Raw genomic sequence first — 27,242 nt, 5'->3', positions numbered from 1 at the left:
ATTTGCTACAGCTGGTCTGTGGGCTTAGGAACCAGTAACTCTAGAATTGTATAATGCAAAGAACATACACGATTCAAGCAATGTGCCCTGAGCACCTTGTACATCTGGACAATAAAAAAAAGTTAAAACAGAAGTGCCCTACATTAGGAGAGGGAGTCGAATCGGATGCTGACAGGGTCTCTGTTTGGGGGACGAAGAGGGCCTAAGGGTTTCAAATAGTTAACTGCTTCCCCAAGCACCAAAGTTGTTAGACGTCAGACGTCAGACGTCACCCAAGTGGGGTGGAGCCGACGTGCCCCGGAAGTCAAGATGCCCCGCCCCGGGATCGGTGGCACCGCGCCGCGCAGGCGCAGGCGTCGCTGCCGCCGGCGCAGGCGCCGCTGCCTCGGGTACTTCCCAGGCTCCGCGCCTGCGCACTGCCGTCCGCCACGCCCCGCAACCTCCTGGTTCCAAGTGGGAGACATGGTGCTGTCGGAGCTAGCGGCGCGCCTCAACTGCGCCGAGTACAAGAACTGGGTGAAGGCGGGCCACTGCCTGTTACTGCTGCGCAGCTGCCTGCAGGGTTTCGTCGGCCGCGAGGTGCTCTCCTTCCACCGCGGCCTACTCGCCGCAGCCCCCGGCCTGGGGCCCCGCGCCGTCTGCCGCGGCGGCTCACGGTGCAGCCCTCGCGCCCGCCAGGTGAGCACCTGGCTCGGGGCCTTGACCACCGCCCCCACCCCACCCCTCCTCATCCCCGTTCCTGTCCCAGACCCAGAGCGCAAGTGTCCTGTTCCCTCCGCGATGCGGGGCCCACCGCGACGTCCCTCCCTCCTGGGCCCCTCCTCACCGCCGCCCCCTGTAGTTTCAGCCTCAGTGTCAGGTGTGCGCTGAATGGAAAAGGGAGATTTTGAGACATCATGTCAACAGAAATGGAGATGTGCACTGGGGAAACTGCCGGCCGGGCCGCTGGCCCGTGGACGCCTGGGAGGTGGCCAAGGTAAGCGCCTGAGGCGGGGACGGAAGGAGGAAGCGGCGGGTCACCCAGCACTCGGGGTGGCTATCTGGTCTTGTGGTCGCCGGGGCCTCATAAACAGATGCAGAGAGAGAGATTGATCAAGGGTCTAGGCGGTTCAGGGGTGGTATGCGGGACCCAACCCAGCTTAGTGAAGTAGAAGCTTTCTTCTACCCGTCTGCTTCCTGAGGGCATTTGAGTTTGTTACCCCTGCTTGGAAAGTTACAGGAAAGAGTTCTACAAGAGATACTGGGGCAAGATGCAGAGCGAGCATCATGAGCACAGGCAGGGAGGGAGGGAGACTCTTGTGTGGCCTGTTTGAGGGTAAGGCTCGCTGAACAGCTCATCAGCTCTTTTTTGGCTATAGGATGCCGTAAGGATGACAGAGTAAGCCAAGGGAAGTTAGGGCTAAAATAGCACCTTAAGTGCCCAGTTAAAGGCACTTTGGGTAGCTGGGAATGGGGTAGGCAGCCGGATCTGTCTTCAGATCTTGGCAATGTCACTTACTAAGTAGATCGAGTAGGAAATTTTTTTGCCCAGTAAGGGACGGAGAGGGACAGCCAGAAGTGGCTTCCTAACACAAATTGACTTTAGCAGTCAGTCTACATGCCAGTAGTTATCAGCAGGCACAGGGTGGGCACTGGAAAGGAGCAGTGCCTGGGAAGCAGATGATCTGAGTCCTGGATCAGCTGCCGTGGTGTGACACTGGGCCAGCTTGTGCTCCCCAATCTCAAAAATGAAAGGACGGCCGGGCGCAGTGGCTCACGCCTGTAATCCCAGCACTTTGGGAGGCCGAGGCGGGCGGATCATGAGGTCAGGAGATCGAGACCACGGTGAAACCCCGTCTCTACTAAAAATACAAAAAAATTAGCCGGGCGCAGTGGCGGGCGCCTGTAGTCCCAGCTACTCGGGAGGCTGAGGCAGGAGAATGGCGTGAACCCGGGAGGCGGAGCTTGCAGTGAGCGGAGATCGCGCCACTGCACTCCCGCCTGGGCGACAGAACGAGACTCCGTCTCAAAAAAAAAAAAAAAAAAAAAAAAAAAAAAAAAAAAAAAAAAAAATGAAAGGAATTGGGGCCGGGCGCGGTGGCTCATGCCTGTAATCCCAGCACTTTGGGAGGCCAAGGTGGGAGGATGGCTTGAGCTCAGGAGTTCAAGACCACCCTGGATAACATGGCAAAACCCCGTCTCTACAAAAAAATACAAAAATTAGCTGGGTGTGGTGGTGCATGCCTGTAGTCCCAGCTACTCAGGAGGCTGAGGTGAGAGGATCACTGGAGCCTGGGAAGTCGAGGCTGCAGTGAGCCGTGATCACACCACTGCATTCCAGCCTGGGTGACAGAGCAAGACCCTGTCTTAAAAAATTGAACTGTATCAGGGGTCCCCAGACTTTTGGGTATCACGAGCCGGTAAACCCACCACACCTACACCATCTTCCCCATTTTTTTCCACTGCAGCCATAGAGTTGCTGACTTCTACTTCTACCTAGAAAAGAGAAAAAAAACAGAAAGAAAGAAAACTCTGCCCTTTACAATGCCTGTCCCTCATCTGTTTGGTCTGCGTTGCTGCTTTCACACCATTGGAATCCTCTTGTAGCCTGTACTACCTCCTTATACCACTCTTTGCTCCTCTTGGTTGCTGTCACCTACAGACCTTCTAGTCCAACCCCATCCTCTCAGTTTCTGGGCTCCTGATTCCAGCATCCTCTGCTTCACTCCCCCTCAGCCTCCGGCTTGCATGCCCACACCCTGGACCTTGGCACAGAAAGTCTCAGTGTCTAACATCCTGCTGGCCTTTGGCACACTTATTCATGCACCCCTGCCCCCAACCCTGTGCCCCATACTACTTCCGCCTCTTTGAGGCTTCCACTGCTTCCTGAATACCCAGCACCCTCTGTCCTCCTGCCTGCCTTTGTCACCTCAGCTAGCCCAGATTCCATGGCCCATCATTATAATCCGTCCCTTGCTGTTATCTCAGCTTTTTTTTTCTCCTTTCTCTGAACTTGCCTGGCCCAACTCCAGTCCTGATGACATTTTCTGCTTCTGATTAGTGGGAAAGAATCTCACAAGGGAACTGACTGGTTTCACTTTCATTCTTGATCATGAGCCCCAGCGGTCTGGCCACATCTCTCTCTAGGCTTCAGTTTCTGGAGACTACTACTTTTCCCTGGCAAATCCCTGCTCCCGTTCCTCCGCCCTTGCTCATGCTTCACGGAATTGATGGAGGCCCTTGGACATACATAGTTGTCTCTCCTTATCCATGGGGTATTGCTTCCAAGACCCCCAAGGATACCAAAATCCACAGATGCTCAAGTCCCTGATATAAAATGATGTATGTGGTATTTGCATATTACTTACATACATTCTCCTATGTACTTTAAATCATCTCTAGATTACTTATAATACTTGATAGAATGTAAGTGCTATGTAAATAGTCGTTATGCTATATTTTTAAAAAATTTCGATTACTTTTTACTGTTGTATTATTTTTCTGAGAATTTTTCATCCACAGTTGGTTGATTCTATGAATGCGGAACTCGTGGATATGGAGGGCTGACTATACTTCCTCTTCTTTTTGCCAACACCAACTAATCTCCATGTGCACCATCTATTTCCTTCTGCTACAGAGGAGGAAGGGTGTCTCTCCTCTTATTGCCTCATACCTCCACTCGTGTGTTGGATCTTATCCCTTTTCTCTTGCTCAAGGCCTTTGAGGCTTCAGCTGTCCACTCTCTCTCTTGCAGCTCATTCCCATCTCCATAGAAAAAGCTTTAATATAGCCATGGTTTATTTAAATTTTTTTAAAAGAAACAATTAAACAGTTACCACATGACCCAGCAATTCCCCTCCTAAGTATATTCCCAGGAGAAATGAAACCATACATTCATACAAAAAAATGTACGCAGATGTTCATAGCAGCTCCATTCACTATAGCCAAAAGGTAGAAACAACCCAAATACCCATCAGCTGATGAATGGAATTTTTAAAATGCAGTATCTCTGTACAATGGGATATTGTTTTGCTGTAACAATGTAACAAAGGAATTAAGTACTAATACAAGTTACAATGTGGATAAATCTTGAAAACAGTATGCTGAGTGAAAGAAGCTAGTCACATATTATATTTATATGAAATGTCCATTTTATATAAATTCCATTTAGACTCCATTTGTAAGAAATGTCCAGGCGGGGCACGGTGGCTCAAGCCTGTAATCCCAGCACTTTGGGAGGCCAAGGTGGGCAGATCACCTGAGGTCAGGAGTTCAAGACCAACCTGACCAGCAAGGAGAAACCCTGTCTCTACTAAAAATACAAAAAATTAGCCAGGCATGGTGGCGCATGCCTGTAATCCCAGCTACTCGCGAGGCTGAGGCAGTAGAATCACTTGAACCTGGGAAGTGGAGGTTGCGGTGAGCTGAGATTGTGCTATTGCACTCCAGCCTGGGCAACAAGAGGGAAACTCCATCTCAAAAAAAAAAGAAAAGAAAGAAAAGAAAAGAAATATCCAGAATAGGCAGATCTATAGAAGCAGAAGTAGATTAGTGGTTGCCAGGGCTTTGGGGAATGAGGGATGATAGCTAATGGGTATGGGGTTTCTTTTTGAGGCAATGAAAATGTTCTAAAATGGACTGTAGTGGTGGTTGCACACCTCTTTAAATATGCTGGAAACCACTGAATTATAATGTGTAGATGGGTGAATTATATCTCAAGAAAGCTGTTTTTTTTAAAAACACTTGAATAAATAATTGGAAAATAAGATTTTAAGAGGCCGGATGTGGTGGCTCATGCCTGTTATCACAGCACTTTGGGAGGCAGAGGTGAGAAGACTGCTTGAGCTCAGGAGTTCGAGACCAGCCTGGGCAACATGGCGAAACCCCATAACTGTCTCCACAAAAAAATACAAAAATTAGCCGGGCGTGGCTGGGCGCGGTGGTTCATCCCTGTAATCCCAGCACTTTGGGAGGCCGAGACGAGTGGATCACTTGAGGTCAGGAGTTCAAGACCAGCCTGGCCAGCATGGTGAAACCCCGTCTCTACCAAAAATACAAAAAAAAATTAGGCAGCTATGGTGGTGTGTGCCTGTAATCCCAGCTACTTGGGAGGCTGAGATGGGTGGATTGCTTGAGCCCGGCAGGTCAAGGCTGCAGTGAACTGTGGTGGCACCATTGTACTCCAGCCTGGGCAACAGAGTAAGACCCTGTCTCAGAAAAAAAAGAGAAAAAAATGTCCCTTGATCCATTCTCTCCTGCTATCTCCCCATTTCTCTATCTGCCTCCCATACACAAATCCAGCAGAGCATCTCAAAAAAGAGGTTTCATACCTGTTATCTTCTCCTCTGCTCCCACTTCCTCTTCAACCAACTCCGCCTCGGCTTCTGCCCCTGCCACTCCACTGCATCTGTGACCTCGTCTCTCTTACCTCCCAGAGCCATTTGGCATTACTGGCTGCTCTTGAAACCCTCTTGGCTTTCCTCCCATCTCCCTGGCTCTTCCTGCTCAGCCTCCTTCTGAATGTCTTTTGGCCTTCCTCAGGACTCAGGGCCAGGCCTCTTCTGTTCCCTTCTTCTCTGGTGACATTGTCCAGGCCTGTGGAGTTAAATGCTAACTGGCTCCCAAATTGATGGCTCTAGCCCTGCCCTCTCTTCTGAGTTCTAGACGCACACATCCAACTGCTTACTTGCCCCCTCCACTCCATCGCCTGTGGAGCACATTTTATTTAGTTCTAAAGTAGAACAGTTTGTCTTTGCCCCCCACCCTATGCCCGTTCCCCATTACCAACTTTCTAGAGTCACTCTTGTTTCAGCTCTTTCCCTCTCAGTACCCCCTCTCTCCTTGTTTGTACCTGCAAAATACTTTTGGAATCTTCTTTTCCATCTCCACATCACAACTCTCACCCTCTCCTACCAGGCCTCTGCTGCTCTGAGCATCTGTGGTCGGTCCTTCACACAGCAGCATGTGCAGTCTTCAAATGGGAATTAGATCGTTCTATAACCCTTGCCTAAAACCCTTGGATGGCTTCCTGATGGCCTTAGAATAAACCCCACACCTTTCCAGAGCCAATAAGGCCCTGCACAATTGGGCCTCTGTTTATTTTCCAGCCCCATCTCCTACTCAGCGAAGAGACAGTGGAGGATAGAGAGAGGCAATAACATGTTTCTCACTGCTGTGCGTTTGGCATGTGGAACACGGTGGTATGCAATACAATTTTAAGACACTGCTTTCACTGTAAGGATGCAGCAGAGCCTCCCTGTTGGCTTCCAGTTCTGAAGAAAGGGAATAATTACTAAAATAAACTTGTAGCAAGGACAGGCACGGTGGCTCATGCCTGTAATCCCAGCACTTTGGGAGGCCGAAGCAGGCGGATCACTTGACTCCAGGAGTTTAAGACCAGCCTGGGCAACATGGCGAAACCCCATGTCTACAAAAAATACAAAAAATTAGCCAAGCATGGTGATGCATGCCTGTAATCCTCACAGGTACTTGGGAGGCTGAGTTGGGAGGATCATTTGAGCCTGGGAGTTTGAGGCTGCAGTGAGCTGTGATTGTGCCACTGTATTCCAGTCTGGGCAACAGAGCAAGACCCTGTCTCTCAAAAACAAAACAAAAACTTTAACATGGAAGAGATTGGCTTATATTGGTGAGAAAATGCCAGACAGGACCTACCTTATAATGGAAAAGAAAACTACTGCACCTGATTCGGAGGTGACTAAGGCCCCACTAACTTTGCATTTTCCTCCCAGCAACAGCTGAATTCAGCAGTTTCTTTTTTTTCCTTTTTGAGACAGGGTCTTGCACTGTCACCCAGGCTTGAGTGCAGTTACACAATCTTGATTCACTGCAACCTCCACCTCCTGGGCTCAAGTGATCTTCCCATTTCAGCCTCCGAAGTAGCTGGTACTACAGGCGTGTGCGACTATGCCTGACTAATTTTTTTTTGTATTTTTCAGAGCTTCTTTTCTTCAGTTTCATGGCATTAGTTTGCCTGTGATAAGTTAGTTAGCTTCTTTGTTAACCTTTGTAGCATCCATAATAGACTTTTTTTTTTTTTTTTTTTTGAGACAGAGTCTCACTCTGTTGCCCAGGCTAGAGAGTAGTGGAGCAATCTTGGCTCACTGCAACCTCCGCCTCCTGGGTTCAAGTGATTCTCCTGCCTTAGCTTCCCAAGTAGCTGGGATTACAGGCGCGTGCCACCACGCCTGGCTGGTTTTTGTATTTTTAGTAGAGATGGGGTTTCACCATGTTGGCCAGGCTGGTCTTGAACTCCTGACCTCAGGTGATCTGCCCGCCTTGGCCTCCCAAAGTGCTGGGATTATAGGTGTGCGCCCGGCCCAAAATAGACTTCTTTCAGAGGGTCGGCCTGTCTGTGGCTATTAAGGCACAGAAAGATAGTGATGATACTGGCTATTGTACCTGTTGACGGGCCAGCCAGGGTTTACAAAATTCTGAATTATGTGGGGCTCAGGTGTATGATTTCACCACCATCAGGAGCATAGCCCTGACTCTCCTGGGCATACATGAGCACTTACCCCAGCCTTTTCAGAATGCTTTCATGAGCAGCCCTGTAGGAGGCATTGTAGTTGCTTGCCTATTGATATGTGTTTTCAATGGAACAGGTCTCTTAAATAAAAGAGGTTTTTTTTGTTGTTTTTTGTTTTCGTTTTTGTTTTGAAACAGGGTCTTGATCTGTTATCCAGACTGGAGTGCAGTGGTGAATCAGAGCTTATTGCAACCTTGAACTCCTGGGCTCAAGCAATCCTCCTGCCTCAGCCTCTTGAGTACCTGGGACTATAGCACACACCACAATGCATGGCTAATTTTTTTTTTTAATAGAGATGGGAGTCTTGCTTTGTTGCCCAGGCTGGGCTCAAACGATCCTCCTGCTTTTGCCTCCCGAAGTGCTGGGATTACAGGAATGAGCCACTGTACCCAGCCTATTTAGAGTTCTTATTGCGAGTAACTTTTTGTTCTAGTCCCTTGGCAGGAGTGTACCCTTGTGATTCTTAGCCTAGTAAAGTTGTTGCATCCCAGTATAAGTTGAGAAATATTTCAGGAAAGAAATACGCCCAAGCTTTCCCATAACACCATTTTGGGGGTCTGTGCCATAAAATTCCTACTAAAGGCAAGATCCTGCTAGCTTGAGGCCCTTCTGGCATATCTAGTATCTCCCATCCCCGGATTCCATCTGTAACTCCTATGTGGGTCCTACTCGCCTTGCACCATCTACATAATAATTGCCAACATTGATGTCCTGGTTACTAGCACGTGCCTAGCACTGTGCTAGTGCTATACCTGCATTCTCTTATTTCATTCTCACAATATCCTTTGAAGTAGATAAGGACAGTTATCCCCCATTTACTGATAAGGAATCTGAGGGTAACTTGACCAAGGTCACAGCTGGCAAATGGCAGAGCTGGCATTTGAACCCAGTTTGCACTCCAAAGCCCAGACTCTTAATATAATACTTCCATACGGAACTTCCTCAAGTCATTTAGAAAGTGTCCACTTTTATTTTATTTTTAAATCTTCTTATTTAACAACTCAACCACTGAAATTTCAGTAAGGAAAAGAAAAAAGATGCCTTCTAGTTATGCTTTCTGTTTATATGCCATTAAGACAGAATGGAAAGCCTGTTATATCATATGTATCTAATAGCAGGGATAATACAGCCCTTCAGTTATTGCCCTTGGCCAAGGTTTAGCTGTGACAGTTTCCCTACTTGCATTTTGGGCTCATGAGGCTTTAAGTTGAAACCTCAGTGCATAAGAGAACTTCAGTCATCATTTGGAAAATAGACAAGTAACCATTGCCTTTCCATCTCCTAGAGTTGGAAGAGACTCAGGTCCCCCTCCTCCCTCCCTTGCTATAGGCCTTCATGCCCCGAGGACTAGCAGACAAACAAGGACCTGAGGAATGTGATGCAGTTGCTCTTTTAAGTCTCATCAACTCCTGCGATCACTTCGTGGTTGATCGAAAGAAAGTCACAGAGGTAAGAGCTGTCAGATTCAAAAGCATACCCTGAGTCAGTTGGGTCTGTGCTGTGAGAGCCAGTCATGAGCTACACCTGTGATGCTAAGCCAACCATGCAGGTATAGCACGTAGTAGCTCCCCGGAACAGTGGTGTACAAAGAAAGTTAGACTTGGGTTCGAAGTTGGCATCGCTAAGCAAACTAGTGTGGCTCATATCATGTCTTCTGTGATGTCCAAGAACCCCAGTGCAAATGCAATCAAGAGTAGTTCTCCTGAATTAGTTTCCTAACAACTCATTGTGCCGTTTGCCACTGAAGTAGATGAACCTAAAAGTCTCTTCCCTGTTCTGCCATAAACAGAACCAAAGTAATTTTCCTTATTAAAAAAAATACAGAACATTGCATCATTCTGCCTGTTGTATGCCAGCATTTGAATCCTACCCTTCTGAATCTCATTGGCTAAGCAGCTGCAAGGCCAAATGGTATGGAACTGAAGAAAATGTGAACACTGATGGATAACAGTGTCAGAATAGATCACTGTGCTTGTTAGATTTCCTCTGGGAAATTTAGATTTTTCTCTAGTTCACCAGAGAACAACTCATACATTTATTACCCTGAAGGTCATTGGAAAGAGTATATAGCTATACCTGGACTGGTTATAATAGGTAGAGAAAATGCATGTATCTTTTGTCTGCATACCAGCAACTACCAGGATTGAGACTCCTTTATGATATCGGCAGAAACAAAGAACTGTCATAGTAGTTGACCCCTTTGATATCTTTTAACCAAACTGTGGAAGACTCTATATGAATTATATATTAATACATGATTAGACGACCATTTTTCTAAAGATAGAGGCCAAAGTTTATTTTCTTTTCATCATGGTTTCCACATCAGGAAACTCCCTGGACCCAGCTTCCTGGTGCTCCAACAGTATTTAAAAGACTTTTGTATTGTCTGCTTCATCCTTTGGGTATACCAAGAGCTGATGCGCTTGCTCTTTGGCAGGTTGTTTTAAGTTAAGGGATTTTGGGGGAATGTGGAATACCCAGCTGGCCACAAGACTTCAAGGGCTAAGAATAGTTGTAGGCTTATTTGTATTTCTTACCCTGACTAATGTATTATTCATGTGGCTGGGGATTGAACACCCCCTCAAGCCTCAACGGCACTGACAGGTACCTACAGGTTATGTTAGGAATTTCTGGATTGCTTGGAAATCTGCTCCAGAGACTCAAGGAGGGAGAAAAGGCCGAATTGTTGCCCAGGAGCCATCTTTTTATTCCTAGAATCCTGTGGCCATAATCTGGCTTATTGTCATGTCTTATTTGTCCTGCATGATTTTTTAAAATTTCAAATTAGTTGTCATAAAAATCTAAATTTCCAGTTTCTCATGAAAAATCAGAAGATCTGGGAACACAGGGCTCATGTAACTCCCATGGCAACAAGCCACGTGTTAAGTAGAGGCTGCCCCTTGAGATAGGGCCTCTGCTCCCCAGTTTGCCCTGAACCAGTCTTTTAGTAGGGAGATGACTCCTTACCATTACACATGGCCAGCTTCCCTCAGGCTACCTGCCTGACCTTTGAAGGCAAAAGGAGACCTTCACTTCTTGGTGTCTGCCCTCTAGACAGGATGAAACTAAATGTGGATCCAACTTGCGGGGCTGGAGGGCTGAAGTGTCCTCCACTCTGATACAGGTACATGCCAGATTATGCCCATGATCCCAAGAAAGTTCCAGTCCTTCTCATCTGAAGACTGCTCTTGTTGATTTTATAATTAACAAAGCCTCTCTATGATTTTTTCTTTGGAGTGAAAGATCTCAGTTTACCCCATTGTTTGATTTTGAAGCCTTTTATCTTTTTGTCTTTCTGCAGGTAATTAAATGTCGTAATGAGATCATGCACTCTTCAGAGATGAAAGTATCTTCTACGTGGCTTCGAGATTTTCAGATGAAGATCCAAAATTTTCTGAATGAATTCAAGAACATCCCAGAGATTGTGGCAGTATACTCCAGAATAGAACAGGTAAAAATCATGTTTAATAGTTCTGGCATACAGAATGAAGAGAGAGAAAACAACAACAGCCACACATTTAGAATTTGAAGTTTATTAGATTTAACCTAAGTGTTAGAATGTAAGCAGGGGAAAGAATGCCAATATGAAATCTGTAATTATGCTGGGCTGAGAAGCTTTTCTGTGGTCACAGTGCACTATTAATATGGATCCAGTTCATTGTGTTTAATTATAAATTATTTGAGTAATTCAGTGGAATGCCTTCTTCATGAAATCAGTTCATATATTTGTGTGGCAATCCCTCAGCTGTTGACGTCTGACTGGGCTGTTCACATCCCCGAGGAAGATCAGCGAGATGGGTGTGAATGTGAAATGGGAACTTACCTGAGTGAGAGCCAAGTCAATGAAATAGAAATGCAGTTACTAAAGGAGAAACTTCAAGAGATATATCTTCAAGCAGAAGAACAAGAGGTGTTGCCTGAAGAGGTAAAAGAAAAGTGTTATAGGCTCTGTGTGAGTTAACAACACAAAGAAAGATTCTGGGGAGGAAGAGTAGCTCATCTTAACAAATAATTAATTGTGTTTTTGATTTATAAGTTAAATAATTTCCAGAAGTGTGAATATGCTTTTGGCACAGAGTAATATTACCTCTTAACAAATATTTTCACTTTCACATCAGCAAACATTTGAATGCCTAATCTGTGCCACAAAGTGGAAAAATGTGATAAAGGCTACAATAGAATTCTGAAAAAAATGCTCTAGACATTCTCTGCTGGTCAGGTGGATTGCCAAAAAAGATTTTGCCAAGAAGATGCTGTTGAGCTGTGGCTCACAGAATCAAATAAGAGTCTGACAAATTGGCAAGAGAAAAAGATTCTTCTTGGCAGAGGGCACAGTACTTGCAAAAGCAGGAAAGGATAGTCTGAGCCTGGGCAAGAACAGGTGAGCACACGAGCTATGGCCAGGTTTGTGGATGGTAAAGTGGGCTGGAGCCACATGCCAAAAGGTTTTCTAGGCCATGCCACGGGGTTTGGGCTTCATTCCCAAAAAGCAGTCAAGAAAGGGAGATAGGATCAGATATAGCTTTTAGAAAGTTAACTCTTGTGGTAGTTGGAGGTTGGATGAGTGGCTAGCAATTACCCAGAAGGCTCTTGCAGTCGTGTGAAGGTGAGAGAGAACAGAAACTAGGGGCTGTGGAGGAACTGGATTCTGGAGGCAGTGCCTGAGCAGAACCGATGGATATTGGTGGCCAGGGAGATTACTTGGAGCATGGCATGGGGCTGGAAAAGGGTGGAGAAGGTGGGGAGAGGAATGTTTAAAGGATTATCAATGTTTCTAGTTTAGGACCTGCAGACTAATGATGGTCTAAACTCCCAAGTACAGGAGAAACAAATCTCCTTTGTCACATGCAAGGTATAAAAGAAATTAACAGTAGTAGAATTATATTCCAGTAAGGTTCAGAAATATTTCAGCACTGGCTGGATTAGACTTCTAGATCACCAGGAGATATTGGAAAAATCATTTCACCTCTCCATTCCTCCTTGTCCAAGGAAAGTAGTTTTGCTGGTTACCTCATTAAACATAGGGAGAGTTTATTAAATGCAAATTCACGGAGCTGTGCTCCTTGCAGATAACTATGCCTGTATTAACCATTCCAGCTTTGATCCAGGTGCTTTATTCAGCATGGTGAGCCCCTTTAGCACAAGGGCTTGGTACCCCTGGTTTTTTGGGTGTGCCCACCATGGTACACCATAGGTATTTAAAATGATGTATTAGAATGTTTATCTTCTCTTTTCTAAATCCATGTGTTTGAGTTCCTCTGTCTTTATTTTATAATGCCATTAGAGCCCCAGTTTTCTTTCTGCTGCTGTTTTCAGAAGCTAGAGCCAGGATTTTGTGTCAGTTGAGAGCTGGAAGGGAACCTGGCAGTCATCTTATATCCCCTGCTTTGCATGTGAGGCAAGGGCCCCAAGGAGCTTGCACTGGGTCTGAGGGCTGGCCCGCAGGTCTCCCCCTTCTGATCCTGTGGCTTCCCGCCTGCTGTGCTGCAGATCTTATATAATGAGGAGCTGGCAGCTGTACGTTTTGAACCCCCATTATCTGTTTTACAGAAAGGAAATAGGGATTAATTGGCTTGTCTTCTGGGTGGAGTCTCTAGGTGGAGTTGATAAATTCTCATTTTTCATGCTTTCTCTTCAGCAGACCATGGCATTTCTCATAATATTTCAGTTGGTCAAAATGTGAGGATTGATTGGCATGTTACCTCAAAAAAGTTGGAGGTCAGGTTTCCACATATATGAAATTTGACGTCTTCAGAAAGTTCAGTACCCTATATGATTTTCCATCTTCTTTAGGGTTAGTTGCCAAAGTCAGAGGATTTGTTAGGACCAGATTTCAATGAATGTAAAATGCTGTCAATTGTAAAACATACCATTATTTCAGTTACTTCTAAGAAAGAAAAAATAATGCTGCCAGTTTATTACAAGACACTATCAATGGTAAGATGCATTCTCATTTGAGACGTTACAATAGGAAAAAGTGTGCATCCCGGGATCAGGAAATACAGTGATTATATTATGACCCCAGGACTTTTGTTATAAATGTTATCAAGACCTGTTTCTTGTTTTTGTTAAAACAGTAGGGGTGAAGGCGAGGTGCAGTGGCTCTTGCCTGTAATCCCGGCACTTTCAGAGGCCAAGGTGAGAGGATCACTTGAGCCCAGGAGTTTGGGACCAGCCTGGGCAATGTAGGGAGACCCCATCTCTTAAACAGACCAACCAGCCAAAAAATGTAGGGGTAGGGTTAGAAAGCTAAGTTGAGAAAAATGATTGATGGTGGTAATTCAGTGTGACAGCTCCTGCAAACACATCATGGAGTGCCACAGAGAGCTCACCATCTCCACAATTTTCTATTCGTTTGGTGACCCTTAAAGGTATAGCACATTAGAAAAAGTGGGCTCACATTAAAATACACTGTGCATGTATTGCTGTGACTGTGAGATTTTTTTTTCTGCTTTGGAGCCAAATGGGAGTAGCAGCTGCTTGGCCCCCTTGTAACACATGTGGAGTTTGTGTCGGCCATGGGCTCATCTGCCCCAGAATTCGGCTGCCACCTAAGTGCCCTTCACATAGTCCTGCCAGCCCTCATTGCTCTGTTAGGATCTGGGAGTTAAAAAAAAATCCAACTAAAGAACATTGAGCACAGTTAGTGGCTAAAAAACTTGAAAATAATTTTCACAGACTTTAAAATCATGACTGATTTCTTAAATCCTGGTGAGGGAGCCACCTTCACAGAGACCTGTGGGGAAGCTTAGGGACAAGGGACGATGACAGTGTGTACTCAAGGCCATTGGGGAAAGGATAGAAAATGGCACTTCATTCGTTATATTCTAGAAATTTTTATTGAGCACCTACTGTGTGCCAGGCACAGTTCTAGAAGCTTGGTATGCATCAGTGAATGAAACAGACAGATACTGTTTAGTATCTGGGAGACAGATACTAAACAGTAAACATAATAAGGTAATGATGTGGGGCAGTAGAAGGAGAAATCCAGTGTAGAGCAGAGGGAGGGCGATCAGGATTGGCAGAGTGGGGACGAATGTCAGGTTGCAGTAGGGTAGTTAGGGTGGCCTCTTTGAGAAGGTGAGACTTAACAGTACCTTGAAGGAGGTGAGGATTAGCCATGCGTGTATCTAGGGGAAGAGGACTTGAAAGAATAGTGGGTGAAGAGGTCAGAGAAATGGAGGGAGAGGAAGCAGTTCCTACTGGGCCTTGTGAGCCATTGGGATGACAAAAGGAGCCACTGGCTAAAGTGGTGAGGGTACTACGGGGTACTGGAGGGGAGGGGCCGAGATAGAAGCAGGTAGACTGGTAGGAGGCTACTGCAGTGGACCAGGTAAAAGATGGTGGTAGCCAGGCTGAAGGTAGAAGTGTAGAGGTGATGTGAAGGTGGGCAGATGTGGCATGTGAGAGAAAGAAAGAGATCAAAGCAAGGCCAAGAGTTTTGGCTTAGGTGACTGGAAGAGTGAAGTTGCCGAGCGTCTTTTACCTCCAACAGTAGACCAGCATGTAGTAGACTGTCAGTAAATTGGACATTTATTGAATGAATGTAGTTAAAAAGGAGGGAATGGACCAGAGATGCTGCTAAGTGCTTTTAGTAGCTTATTTCTGATCCTCATAAGAATCCTAGGTGGTGTTGTTATCATCATCCTTAATTTGTATACCTAAAAGTAAGCTCAGAGAGGTCAGATGTCTTGGCCAAAGTCACACAGCTAGTTAAGTGACAAAGCTGGGCTTCAGTGTCCAAGTCTGAATTTTCTACATTCCAAATTTTTCTAGTACTTTCAGTTTTTCCATCTCTACTTTCTCTTCCCCCTTTACCTATAAACATGCAAAACCTTCCCTGTTCTTAATACTTTTTTTTTTAAAGCCTCCTTTTGATTCGTCCTCCCAACCCCAAGCTAAAATAATCACCCCAGCCAGAACACCTCTTAAGCACATTTCAAGAGTAAATGCATTTGTTGCATTTCACAAAGGAGAAAACAAGTTTCAAGAAATGTCAGCTATGGGACACTCCTGTTGAAGATAATGGGAAAGAAAGGCAATTTGGGGTGGAAAAGAGAACTGAAACCATGAGCAAAAGAAAAGAAACTAAGTGGAACAGAGCACATCAGTCCTGAGAGTCTGCAGGGGGGGTCAGGAGGTAGCAGCACAAGGACCACCGTTCCTGGGTTATCATGTGAGAAAGTCTCCGCTCAAGTGGAGGGGCACCCCACTGAGGGCAAAAGTCCATCTGTGATCATGCGTGTGGTGCCCAGGCCCTGCTGGTGCCATCACGGACATCTGATTAGAGCCTCAGGAAGACCCTGAGGTGTGTCTAGGGCACCGGGCACGGTCACTGAGAGCTAACGATGCAGTGCCCACAGTTCCTAACGCTTGCTGTGAACAGTGTCATCCATGTGATCTTCATTTCACATGTCTCTGGTTTCCAGATTTATTATTTAAAGCCCAAGCATCTTGCAGGAGCTCTAGGCTAGTTTCCAGCTGTGTATTAACCAGCTCCTGAAGGGCACATTCCCGGTCTACTTACTGACCAATCTGAAACCCTTTGATCATCTGCAGCTCCTCCCTGTCCCTCCCCGCTCCCCGTGCGTCCTGGCCACAGCTGTCCACCTCCCTCCCATCCCCAGCAGCCATGATCTGGCATCTGGCTCTTTCATTTGCTTACTTCACGATAACGTGAGTATTTGCTGGGGTTCCACCCCAGACCTACTGCATGGGAATCAGTGATGTACGCTCTGCAGTTTAAGAACTACTGCTCTCTTAGGGCAGGGTGCTCCGTTATTTTTCTTCATTAGATTTATATAACCCTGACTTAACTTGCAGTTGAGGGTTCCCCATTTAAAAGCATTCATCGCTGGGCACAGTGGCTCACACCTGTAATCCCAGCACTTTGGGAGGCCGAGGCGGGCGAATCACCTGAGGTCAGGGGTTTGAGACCAGCCTGGCCAACATGGCAAAACCCCGTCTCTACTAAAAACAAAAATTAGCCGGGCGTGGTGGCATGTGCCTGTAATCCCAGTTACTCAGGAGGCTGAGGCATGAGAATCGCTTGAACCCAGGAGGCGGAAGTTGCAGTGAGCCGAGATCACACCATTGCACTCCAGCCTGGGTGACAGAGCAAGACACTGTCTCAAAAAAACAAAAAATATACACACACACACATACACGTGTGTGTGTGTGTGTGTGTGTGTGTGTGTGTGTGTATATATATATACATACACACATATATATACACATGTATATATATATGTACACACGTATATATGAACATATGTATATATCCATCTATATAATAATTCAGGTACAGAATTCAAAAGAAAAGGGCATTTTATTTATTTGTACACACACACGGGTGTGTATGTATAAAATGAAGCCCTTTCATGTAAAGGCAGGAAGTTTTAAAGCAAAAAAATGGAAGGAGACAAGCAAATATTCCCTTGTGTACCCCCAGAACCAGTTATCCTGGGTCACTTTTTTATTTTTTGAGTGGAGGATGCTTTGTTTTAAAGGATTTGTTTTGTTTTTCAAACTTTAACCTGTCTGTGGACAGATGCCTGTAGCCAAGATTTCTGTCTCTTGGGCACGTGAGTAGGAGCCAGTCTAGAAGCTAGTAGGTTTTTCATTTGAATTACAAATCTGCTATAAAATCGTCTAAGCTGTACATTGCATGGTTTCCTCTTGCAGCTCTCAAATCGACTGGAAGTGGTGAAGGAATTTCTGAGAAACAATGAGGATCTTAGAAATGGCCTTACAGAAGATATGCAGAAGCTAGACAGCCTCTGTCTACATCAAAAACTGGATTCACAGGAACCTGGGAGACAAACACCTGACAGGAAGGCCTGAGGTGAGTTCAGGCAGATGATGGTGTTAAAGAAGGACAGAATCACCTCATCTCTTTCATGTCTATTCTCTCATGTGAGGCCATCATGAACACACAACAATCTAATCTGAAGTTTGCCTTTGTCCTTATTGTTTCAAAGAAAGGACACTGAGGTTTGTGTTCTTCACTTAATGATTCTTACGTCTGTGAAGTAATTCAGCATCAACTCCCTGTTTAGCCAAATACACCTGAAGTCATTGGTCTAGAATTAAATGAATCAGCTTTATAACATAATCAAAAAGCATTTCTGCCTTAAAATGACACCATTGATGCCTAGCTCTTACCATGGCATTAATAGCAATTGACTAGTCAATTTCCATAAGGAGAACTTCTTAAAATGAGTAACTGTCTTCAGCATTTTACTTTTTCCCCCCTCAAATAAAAAAAATAAATAAAACATTCTCTTTCATTTTAGGTTGCCCGTCAACAAAAATCAGGCATGTTCTGTGAAAGTCAGCATGGCTTCCATCTCAGACATCCTTTTCTGTGCAAAAGGAAAAAGTTACCAGAGTATTGTACCCAAACAAAAAGGAATTTTTGTTGTTTTGTCCTGGACTTTCCTCTAACTCTTTGGAACTATTTTAATATTTATAAACTTGGGGTTGTATAATCTATTGCAATAAAAAATATTAGATACTCTATGCCAAAACTTGCTACCAGGCCAGGTGTGATGGCTCACACCTGTAATCCCCAGCACTTTGGGAGGCCAAGGCGGGCGGATCACCTGAGGTCAGGAGTTCGAGACCAGCCTGGCCAACATGGCGAAACCCCATCTCTACTTAAAAAAAAATACAAATATTAGCCGGGCGTGGTGGCATGTGCCTGTAATCCCAGCTACTCGGGAGGCTGAGGCAGGAGAATCGCTTGAACCTGGGAGGCAGAGGTTGCAGTGAGCTGAGACCATGCCACTGTACTCCAGCCTGGGCAATAGAGCGAGATTCTGTCTCCCAAAAAAACAAAAAACAACAACAAAACTTGCTACCACCCAGGGATTTTCTGCTATTTAAAAGGTGAATTTCTTTTCTGGTACTAAACTGTAGCTGCTTAACTTAGTAAAGGCTGTGTTTGGCCAGGCCTGTGCCAGAGGCTCACCTGGAGTGCTCCACCCACTGGCAGGCAAGTCCTATTCCTATTCACCCAGGATCCCCAAGGCTGGGCTGGGATATAAATGTTGGGATAGGAAAGAAATATTTCCTTTTTAGAGGAAAGCAAGAAGAAACATTGCCTGAAAGGTGATTTTCTAGTCATTTCCAATTAGTACAGAAATGTTACTGCCTCTGGGTGCAGTGGTTCACGCCTGTAATCCCAGCACTGTGGGCGGATCACTTGAGCCCAGGAGTTTGAGACCAACCTGGGCAAGATGGCGAGACCCCATCTCTACAAAAAAATTTAAAAATTACCTGGGCATGGTGGCACACACCTTTATTCTCAGCTACTCAGGTGGCTGAGGTGGGAGGATCCCTTGAGCCCAGGTGGTCAAGGCTGTGGTGAGCTATGATCATGCCACTGCACTCCAGCCTGGGTAGCAGAACAAGACCCTGTCTCAAAAAAAAAAAAACCCCAAAAACTGTTACTACTAGGTTGGAGTAGCCTAAGGCAGTAGGGCAAGGAGGTGGGCCCAGGCTGGTCTGTGGGGAGCTGGAGAATGGTGACTCGAGTGACCAGTGGACAGGCAGGACCCAGGCCAGCATTACAAGCGGGGATGTCAGGCAGGAGCAGGGGAGCTTCTCGCTTGGCAGCTGGTTTATGGTACACTTTTGAAAAGTAAGCTCCCAGGGCCTGGCCCTCACATGCTCAGTGAATATTTGACTGAAGGGTCCCCTCATAGCTTGGGAGTATTCACAGGCCTAAATGTTAGTTATACTATTAGCTAAGCCTGGTCCTTTGTTACGAAATTTAAAAATGAAATTGCAACATTCTTGTGGAAATTCAAAGACATCATTTTCTTTCAACAAATTCACACATTCGTTCATGCTTCTTCTATACCTTTTACCCCTAAAGTCATCCACTCCTGAGTTCCTCCTGCTGGTTTCCCAAACTGCGCAATGACTGCCCCATCATAGGCAGTGGTCCGTGGAGTCGGCCTCACTTTCGCCTTTCCCCGCATCTACTTGTTTCCAAGGCCAGTGGTACTTAACTGGGTCAAGTTGCCTGTGGACCTTCAGGAACAGAATTGCCATGTTCCTCACTGCCTGCAGGAAAGGCTCCATTCCAAGCCCAGTGAAGATGTGTGCCTATCCAGCCGCCCACCAAGGATGTCATCTGTAGAATGGGTGGAGGGCAGGGGTTTATTTGGTGTATATTTTTACATTAAAATGCACTTAATATCACTTTGTAAAGCCCAGATGAGTGCAAATGTGCCTGTAACTTCCTCCTTTAATCTGTCCAGGTAGTATTTAGTCTTTAGTCTTACATTTTCTTTCTCCCTTTATTTCATGAAATTCCTTGAGAAAACTTCAACAGTAAAGAAAGAAATTTCATTCATCTCACAACTCTTCCAAACGAGGAAACTTAGTGAAATATTTCAGAGCTTCTAGATGTGAGGTACAAAACTTGGGATCAAATGGAATCTTGATTCACTAACCAATTTAAGATCTGACTTCTAATTTTAGGAACTTTGGGTTATGAACGCTTCCATTTTATACCTGTGTCTAGTTAGTTTCTGCCTATCTATCCAAGAAGCTTTTATCAAGGGTCCACCATGTGCCAGCCACTGAAGTAGATATAAATACAAGGATGTGTAAGGTATGGATGATGGTATACGAACTGTCATCTTACTGGATTTGTCCGCTCTGTTAAAGATACGGTTCCGAAAACTTTTTAAAGCCCTAGAGAGGGCTTTAAGGCAATGTAGCATCATATATAGAGGCATCAACCTGTTCATATCTTTCTATTTAACAGAACTGTGCACCTGGGCACAAGGGTGTGCACAACAGGATGTGTACAGCAGCACTGTTAAAGTGTAGCACATCCATACTACAGGATCTTATGCAACTGTTGGAAAGAATGAAGCGATGCTGCACTGTGGTCATGCAGTGATCTCTAAGACATATTAACTAGAAAGCAAAAGGTTTAACAATGTATAGCAGCTGGGCGCAGTGACTCGCGCCTGTAATCCCAGCACTTTGGGAGGCTGAGTAGGGCGGATCACCTGAGGTCAGGAGTTTGAGACCAACCTGGCCAATGTGGCGAAACGCTGTCTCTACTAAAACTACAAAAATTAGCTGGGCGTGGTGGCGCGTGCCTGTAATCCCAGCTACTCGGCAGGCTGAGGCAGGAGAATCGCTTGAACTGGGGAGGTGGAGGTTGCAGTGAGCCGAGATCACACCACTGCATTCCAGCCTGGGTGACAGAGGGAGACTCCGTCTCTAAAAAACAACCCCCCCCCCCCAAAAAAAAAAATGCATAGCAAGCTGTAATGCTCTTTGTGTTTTAGAATAGTAGAGGTCTGGAAAGTTGTTTGCTTTTCCCCAGTTTTTTTTTGCTGTGTTACCTCTGAAGGGAATTGAGGTAGAGGGGAGAGTTAGAAGGAATATTCGGCTTTTCTATTTTATATCCTCCTAGGTGAAATTTTTACAACAAACATGTACTGGTGTATTTTGAAATGTTTTTAAATTTTTGTATTTCAAAATAATAAAATATAAATTCAAACTGCAAGCTGGCTGTGTCGCATTTCCTGGACTATGTTGTAGCCTCCATTCCTCCATTTTGTAGCTCCACCTCCAGGGTCACCTGCAAATTGTCAGGGTCGTGGGAAGAAGCCCAGCAAGTGGATCACTTTCTACATAGGGCTGTCTGTTTCATCGTGAAGAGGCTTGTCTTCGTCCAGCAATATGATTTGTTCTCAGCCTCTCCCTGGGACACAATATGTGGCTCATAGTTTTGAAAGAATTAGAGGAAAAAAATGGTATTAGCATTATAGTTGCAAAGATAAAGCAGTTCTTTGGATTTAGCCTATTCTTCACCAGGGAGCTCAGAGTACCTAAGGAGGAAGACATTACATATTCAACTCAGAGTAAAACACCTGATTCTGGGAAATGACTAAAGTGTGTTGGTGACAAAAACTGGAAAACTAGCTCTGCCAATTCAGAAAATGTTACTGGTTTTATAAAGTTGTGGAGATCTGTAGACAGTTTAAATTGCCAAGGTTAGGATTACGTTTGAGAGTTTGGGAAGATTATGAAATGATTGTTACCCTAATGATTTAAAAAGTTCATTTTTATTAAAGTATGAATTACTTACTTGGCTTTAAACACTAATATCCTAGACAACAAAGGGTCTAAGTGAACCCAGCTAACTTAGTTGGGTGGGCATATTATGAATTAGATGCTGTAAGTGGAGCATTGCATTATTGTGGAGGTGTTGCAATCTTTTGGATATTTCCTCGAATCGTTTTGACCTCTAAATTGTAAGTATAGAGTAATAGGAAATTAGCAGCAGAGATTACCTCCTTTTCCCTCACCAGGTTAATTAGAAACCTACCGGCTCTGAAATGTCTTCAACAGACAATGGCCTTTTATTGAAATAGACTCAAATTACAAAATGCATATTGTAAGACAACCTAAAAATATATTAATTTCTACTCATGAAATCATTAGTGAAGTGGATATAAAGTTACTCATTTCATAACTTTAAGCACTGGTTTTTAATACTGCATTGTAGTCTGAATTATCTAAAACATTAAGACCCACTGTTATCTTCCAGAGATTTCTGCTTCTCAAACCCATGCTCTATGATATATGCATGTTAGCAATGACCACAAAACTGTAAACTGAGCATTTTGTGACCTCTCTTTGGGAAGGTAAGCAACAAATTTACATGCTTTACTTTCCTACTGACTACTAGAAAGGCGTGAGAATTCTTATTTTAGCACCACGTGTGGTAGCCAGCATCCAGGATGGCCCCTAACAACGCCTGCTTCCCATCCTCATATTGTCCTCCCACAGTGTACCAGAGTTGTTTTGTGTGAACACAGCAGAAGTGATGGTATGTGACTTCCAAGATGAAGCTGTAAAAGGCTAGAACTTCCATCTTGGGCTATCTCTTGGAACACCACTCTGGGGGAAGCCACGTCACAAGCAGCCATATGGAGAGGCCCAGATGACAAGGAACTGAAGCCTCCTACAAACAACTATGAGCTTGGAAGCGGATCTTCCAGCTCCAGTCAAATCTTCAGAGACTGCAGCCCCAGCTGACAGCTGAGAGTCCCTGAGCCAGAAGTCCCCCACTAAATCACTTCCAGATTCCTGACCTTCAGAAATTACGTCAGATAACTGTTTTAAACTAAGTGTTGGGGTGATTACACGGCCATAGATAATACACTACCCCCATAGTTCGTTTCCCACCCCCTTACCCCCCACTCCCCCGCTAACCCCGTCCCCACATGCAGAATTTCGTGAAACTGTGACACAGACTGCCCACAAAGAGGACTTCTGCTTTAATGCCAGAGAAGATAAAGGGGAATCTTCTAGAATTCCACTAATGTGCCTGTTTTGTCCAAGAACTAACGTCTTCAGAATCTTTGATAGTGCTTTTAAATTTCTTTGCATTTGAAACCTCTATCTAAAGCAGGGTTCAAACACTTCTAAACACCTACTTTGGGGTTCACCAGTAAACACTCTGGAACTTTCCGCATCCTTCAGAGGCAGGGACAGGGGAAATTTTTGGGTCAAATCGTAGAGGGCAGCCTCTGCTATGTAGGTAATGGCCTTAGCCTACTGCCCCACCACCCCACCCTTCTCGTTTCCCTTTTCTCGGCTCTGTGGTTTAAGAATCCGTAGGAACCCCCAAGATTCCTAGGGGAATACTCTGAGCTGCCGCTGTTGACCACTGACCCCTCACCCCCAGCTCTAGCTAGCATTCAACAGAGTTGATAGGTAACCAGTTTTGCAAACTGCCATTTCCCCCGTTTTTAAGGATAACTAAAGGAGGAAAGAACGATTTTGTCGTTTTACCTATTTACCTAGAATCCAGGGTTGATGGCAATTGTCCTCAGAATTGTTTATCCTGTCTCCATGGCAGATTCTATAATTGCTCTCCGTCGCCAAGAGATCCTAGGTTCTCTTGAGGCTGCACTGTACCTCACGACATTCATTTAAAACCCACTTCGAAACATTTCCCTCAGTAGAAAGAGCCCCCAGACTTTTTTTGATATACAGATTTGTGACTGCACCAAGCTGTGAGTCATGTGTGATACTAAGCAACCCTGTTCGCTCTGGACATCCAAAACAAGTAACAGAAATACGTTCCCAAGAGAGCTTTAAAAAAAAAACAAAAAAGCTACGAGTTAGTGAATACTGTGAAGTGCTTTTCATTCAAAGTCTTCCTCCCCCATATAAACTATCTTGAGTTGCAGGTCCTGTGAAGAGAAAGACCAGCTAATCCACCCTCCCCTTCTAAAAAACATTTTCAGTTTACAAAAAAGGCAACACTCAACTTCGGTTCAATGTTACTTTGTATTTCTTTATTAATCAAACTGCAGGTTTAAGTCAGATTCGCACTGTTTTAGAGTCAAAACCGAGGTCTTCATTGGTCTTTTTTCAGGAGGAATGGCAGTTCAGTGCTTGTGACCTGCAGAGATGAGATCAGGCCCTCTCAGTTCTTAAGAAGCTTGTTTCGGGGGCTGGGAACCCGGGCTGGTGGCAGCGGCGGCGGTAGCCGGAGGGTCGCGGGCTTTAGCCTCGGCGCCGCCGCCGCCGTAGTAGTAGAGTAGGTAGCGACTGGCCTGCACACTCTGCGCCATCACGTTGGTACAGTGGCACGCCATCAGCAGCAGGTTTCGAGGCTGTACGCGGTAGGCGAAGCGCATGAAGATCGCCGAGTACAAGATGAGCGCTGTTGTCATGCGGCCACTGATGATCTCCGGCGACGCCTTCATGTCTTTAAAGGCAGCCAGCGGAAGGCCCCAGCTGAACGCGGGACCCCAGAAGTGAGTGCTGCTCACGTATTCCCGGAACTCCTTGCTCTGGAAGTTATCTCTCATCTTCCGCCACAGTACCGCCATCCTCGCCATGATGGAATAGCCGTAGGCGTGCCTACGGATCAACAGCCAGACCACAACGAAATAGAGCGCAAAGCCGAGTACCCGCAGCCGACCCTGACTGGGCACACGCTCGCGACCTCGAGCCTTCGCGTGGCTGCCACAAAGTGCGCCGACAGCACGTGCCGCTGTTCTGTCGGAATGAAAGGGCGTGGTTTCACCCTGGCGCCTTCGCGTTGACTACCGTAAAGTGCTCCAGACGGCACGTGCCGCTGTGCTATTGGGGCGAAAGGCAGTGGTCTCACCCGCGGGCCTTTGCCTGAATGCCGTTAAAGTGCTGCAGACAGCACGTGCTCCTGTTCTGCGGGCGTGCGAGGCCGTGGCTTTGCCCTCGCGCCTCATGTAACCGCTGTAAAGTGCTCCAGACTACATGCCAATGTTCTGCGGGAATGAAAGGGCGTAGCTTCGCCCTTGCGCCTCTGCATGACTGCTGTGAAGTGCTCCACAAGCACGTGCAGCGGTTCTGAGAGAGTGAAGGGGCCTGGCCTCATCCTTGCACCTTTGCCTGACTGCCGTAAAATGCTCCAGACAGCAGCTGCCGCTGTTCTGTGGGGGTGAAAGGGCGTGGGTTTGCCCTTGTGCAGACGTGACTGCTGTAAAGTGCTCCAGACAGCACGTGCTGCTGTCGTATGTTCCTGTGGGGGTTAGGGGAGGGGCGCAGCCTCACCCTTGCACTTTTGCGCTTTCCGTGGACTGCCATAAAGTGCATACAGCATGCGTGCATGTGTGTGTCCTCTGGCAGAAGTGGAACCACAGCCTCAGCCTGCGTTCCCCACAGGCCTGCAGCTGCTTTTAAGTGCTGAGGGTTACTCGTGCCACCCGGAGAGGAGAGGGTCAGGCTGCCTGCTTCTCAGCCATGCAAAGGGAAACTGCTTGTTCTGCCTAGTCCCTGGACAGTGTTGACTAGATGTTGATACAAAATTCCTCAACCGGGTTCAGAATTTTAGCCCTTAACACAATTTGCCTGAGTGTTACTTGCAGACATAGTGACATTTCACCTTAACATTTTAGCATCTGTCTCTTAAAAACAAGGATGGACCCCTACTTAACCACAATGCAATAATCCACACTGTAATATGCAGAGCATATTTAAATTTTATAGCTTTACGGCTGTATTTTTTTTTCCTTCTTGTTGGAGGGGGAAGTCAGGATTCAATCAAAATTCAAGTTTAGTTAACTCCTTTGATTAATATTTAATCTAGAAGCGTTCCCTGGCTTTTTGTCTTTCATGACATGGACATTTTTGAAGAGTCCAAGCTCGTCGCTTTTCAGAATGTCTGTAAGTTGGATTTGTCTGTTTTCTCGTTAGATTTAGGTTAAACATTTTTTGATAAAACAACTTCACAAGAGATGTTGTATTCTTAGTTGCATCACAATGCAAGGCACATGATGTCACTTTGTTCCAGCATTGGTGGTACTAAGTTCGGCCACTTGGTTAAGAAGTTATCCGCGGAGAAGCTGCGAGGATGGTGGAGTGAGGCGTGCGGCTGTAAATTGGCCTCTGGGCCGGGGGCGGGCTAGCTCCCGGGAGGCCGAGCGCATCTGTTGGACTGTGCGAAGAGAAGAAAAAAAGAGATCGGCCAGAGGAAAGGAACTAACCGAACATTCTTCCTCCCTACCTTGCAGAGGGGAGTGGTCATCTACACTAAAGCAAAGGTTCCTTATCACAGGAAGAAAATTTTCCTTGACCATTAGGTGCTTTTATATTCATCTCAAAAACAAAATTCTGAACTCAGGACTTGGCAAATTCAATACAGAGGAGCTCCTAGGATTCCAGTTATCCTGCCAACTTCTCCAGGAAGAAAGAAACAACTTGCATGGGTCTTCTGCTGTTTGCTTAATTATAAAGACATCATTTTGCAAGCTGAAGGCTGAGTTTCATTTTAAACAGGTGCTTAGGTGGTGGTATTCGTGAATACTTTTCATTCCAAGCAAGAAGACTAAATAAGTAGCAAGTATGGATGACTTCAGGGTTTAAAAAAAAATGTCTTCCAGTTTCAGCCACTACCATGATAAGCACAGTAGAGACTGCAGCAGTAAATTCCAAATATGTGTTTCTAATTTGACGTGAAAGATACTAAAAAATTATATATTTAAATCCTGGCTCATCCTGTGACATAGATTTACTGAATAAGAACAAAGGCCCAATTTTAAACAAAAACCTAGGTCGGGTGCGGTGGCTCACGTCTATAATCCCAGCACTTTGGGAGGCCGAGGTGGGCGGATCACCTGAGGTCGGGAGTTTGAGACCAGCCTGACCAACATGGAGAAACCCCGTCTCTACTAAAAATGCAAAATTAGCCGGGTATGGTGGTGCGTGCCTGCAATCCCAGCTACTTGGGAGGCTGAGGCAGGAGAATCGCTTGAATGCCAAGGGGGCGGAGGTTGCAGTGAACCAAGATTGCACCACTGCACTCCAGCCCGGGCGACAGAGTGAGACTCCCTCTCAGGGGGGAGAAAAAAAAAACTTTGGACATAGAGGAGTCGGCGGCAGAGAGAGGAGGATGAGAGAATTTTCCGTAGAACTCCTTTTCCCTAAGAAAAACAAGCAAAAATGCCTCGTGCAGTGCCATCTGACTTTATGGTGTTTCACATTATATAGTTACATTTTTTGTAAATGCATAATATTAACTATTTTCCTGCAACCCAAGGTGGATACTTGGATGTTTTATTTTATTTTATTTTATTTTATTTTATTTTATTTATTTATTTTTGAGGTGGAATCTCACTGTGTTGCCCAGGCTGGAGTGACTGGTGCGATCTCTGCTCACTGCAATCTCTGCCACCTGGGTTCAGGC

General features: G+C 45.6%; 2 protein-coding genes across 10 annotated transcripts, besides 7 other annotated features; one reads left to right on the top strand and one right to left on the bottom strand.

Moving 5' to 3' along the window:
• Positions 206–386: a silencer, noted in NCBI's record as "fragment chrX:40506849-40507029 (GRCh37/hg19 assembly coordinates)". NCBI's record gives its function as "represses an EF-1alpha promoter that drives an FKBP-Casp9 reporter gene in an ReSE screen in K562 erythroleukemia cells {active_cell/tissue: K562}" and the evidence as "EXISTENCE:reporter gene assay evidence [ECO:0000049][PMID:32094911]".
• Positions 206–521: a biological region, named in NCBI's record as "ReSE screen-validated silencer GRCh37_chrX:40506849-40507029".
• Positions 222–521: a silencer, noted in NCBI's record as "silent region_20765". NCBI's record gives its function as "represses an Ori minimal core promoter by ATAC-STARR-seq in GM12878 lymphoblastoid cells {active_cell/tissue: GM12878}" and the evidence as "EXISTENCE:reporter gene assay evidence [ECO:0000049][PMID:35858748]".
• Positions 422–21,062, top strand: CXorf38 (chromosome X open reading frame 38). 9 transcript variants are annotated; one of them, XM_005272589.4, is made up of 7 exons: positions 422–678; positions 842–976; positions 8,855–8,974; positions 10,827–10,976; positions 11,271–11,450; positions 17,210–17,369; positions 19,407–21,062. In XM_005272589.4, exons 1-6 carry the CDS (start codon positions 463–465, stop codon positions 17,366–17,368), a joined length of 960 nt encoding a protein of 319 aa, XP_005272646.2. In that variant the 5' UTR covers positions 422–462; the 3' UTR covers position 17,369; positions 19,407–21,062. The 9 variants fall into 9 exon arrangements, with proteins under 9 accessions (XP_005272646.2, NP_659407.1, NP_001317384.1 ...); NM_144970.3 differs by having other exon boundaries at positions 17,821–21,062; NM_001330455.2 differs by having other exon boundaries at positions 8,811–8,974.
• Positions 642–791: a silencer, noted in NCBI's record as "silent region_20764". NCBI's record gives its function as "represses an Ori minimal core promoter by ATAC-STARR-seq in GM12878 lymphoblastoid cells {active_cell/tissue: GM12878}" and the evidence as "EXISTENCE:reporter gene assay evidence [ECO:0000049][PMID:35858748]".
• Positions 1,042–1,241: an enhancer, noted in NCBI's record as "active region_29549". NCBI's record gives its function as "activates an Ori minimal core promoter by ATAC-STARR-seq in GM12878 lymphoblastoid cells {active_cell/tissue: GM12878}" and the evidence as "EXISTENCE:reporter gene assay evidence [ECO:0000049][PMID:35858748]".
• Positions 2,929–3,158: an enhancer, noted in NCBI's record as "active region_29548". NCBI's record gives its function as "activates an Ori minimal core promoter by ATAC-STARR-seq in GM12878 lymphoblastoid cells {active_cell/tissue: GM12878}" and the evidence as "EXISTENCE:reporter gene assay evidence [ECO:0000049][PMID:35858748]".
• Positions 3,452–3,746: a silencer, noted in NCBI's record as "tiled region #4034; HepG2 Repressive non-DNase unmatched - State 23:Low". NCBI's record gives its function as "represses a minimal TATA promoter and a strong SV40 promoter by Sharpr-MPRA in HepG2 cells {active_cell/tissue: HepG2}" and the evidence as "EXISTENCE:reporter gene assay evidence [ECO:0000049][PMID:27701403]".
• Positions 23,847–24,555, bottom strand: MPC1L (mitochondrial pyruvate carrier 1 like). Its single transcript, NM_001195522.3, has one exon. The coding sequence runs from the start codon at positions 24,415–24,417 to the stop codon at positions 24,007–24,009; it is 411 nt and encodes a 136-aa protein (NP_001182451.1). The 5' UTR covers positions 24,418–24,555; the 3' UTR covers positions 23,847–24,006.
• Positions 24,556–27,242: the final 2,687 nt, after the last annotated feature.

The sequence above is a fragment of the Homo sapiens genome, chromosome X, assembly GCF_000001405.40.
Source record: "Homo sapiens chromosome X, GRCh38.p14 Primary Assembly".
NCBI lineage: Eukaryota > Metazoa > Chordata > Mammalia > Primates > Hominidae > Homo > Homo sapiens.
The sequence above is the reverse complement of the archived record's forward strand: the minus strand, read 5'-3'. Positions and strand labels throughout refer to the sequence as shown.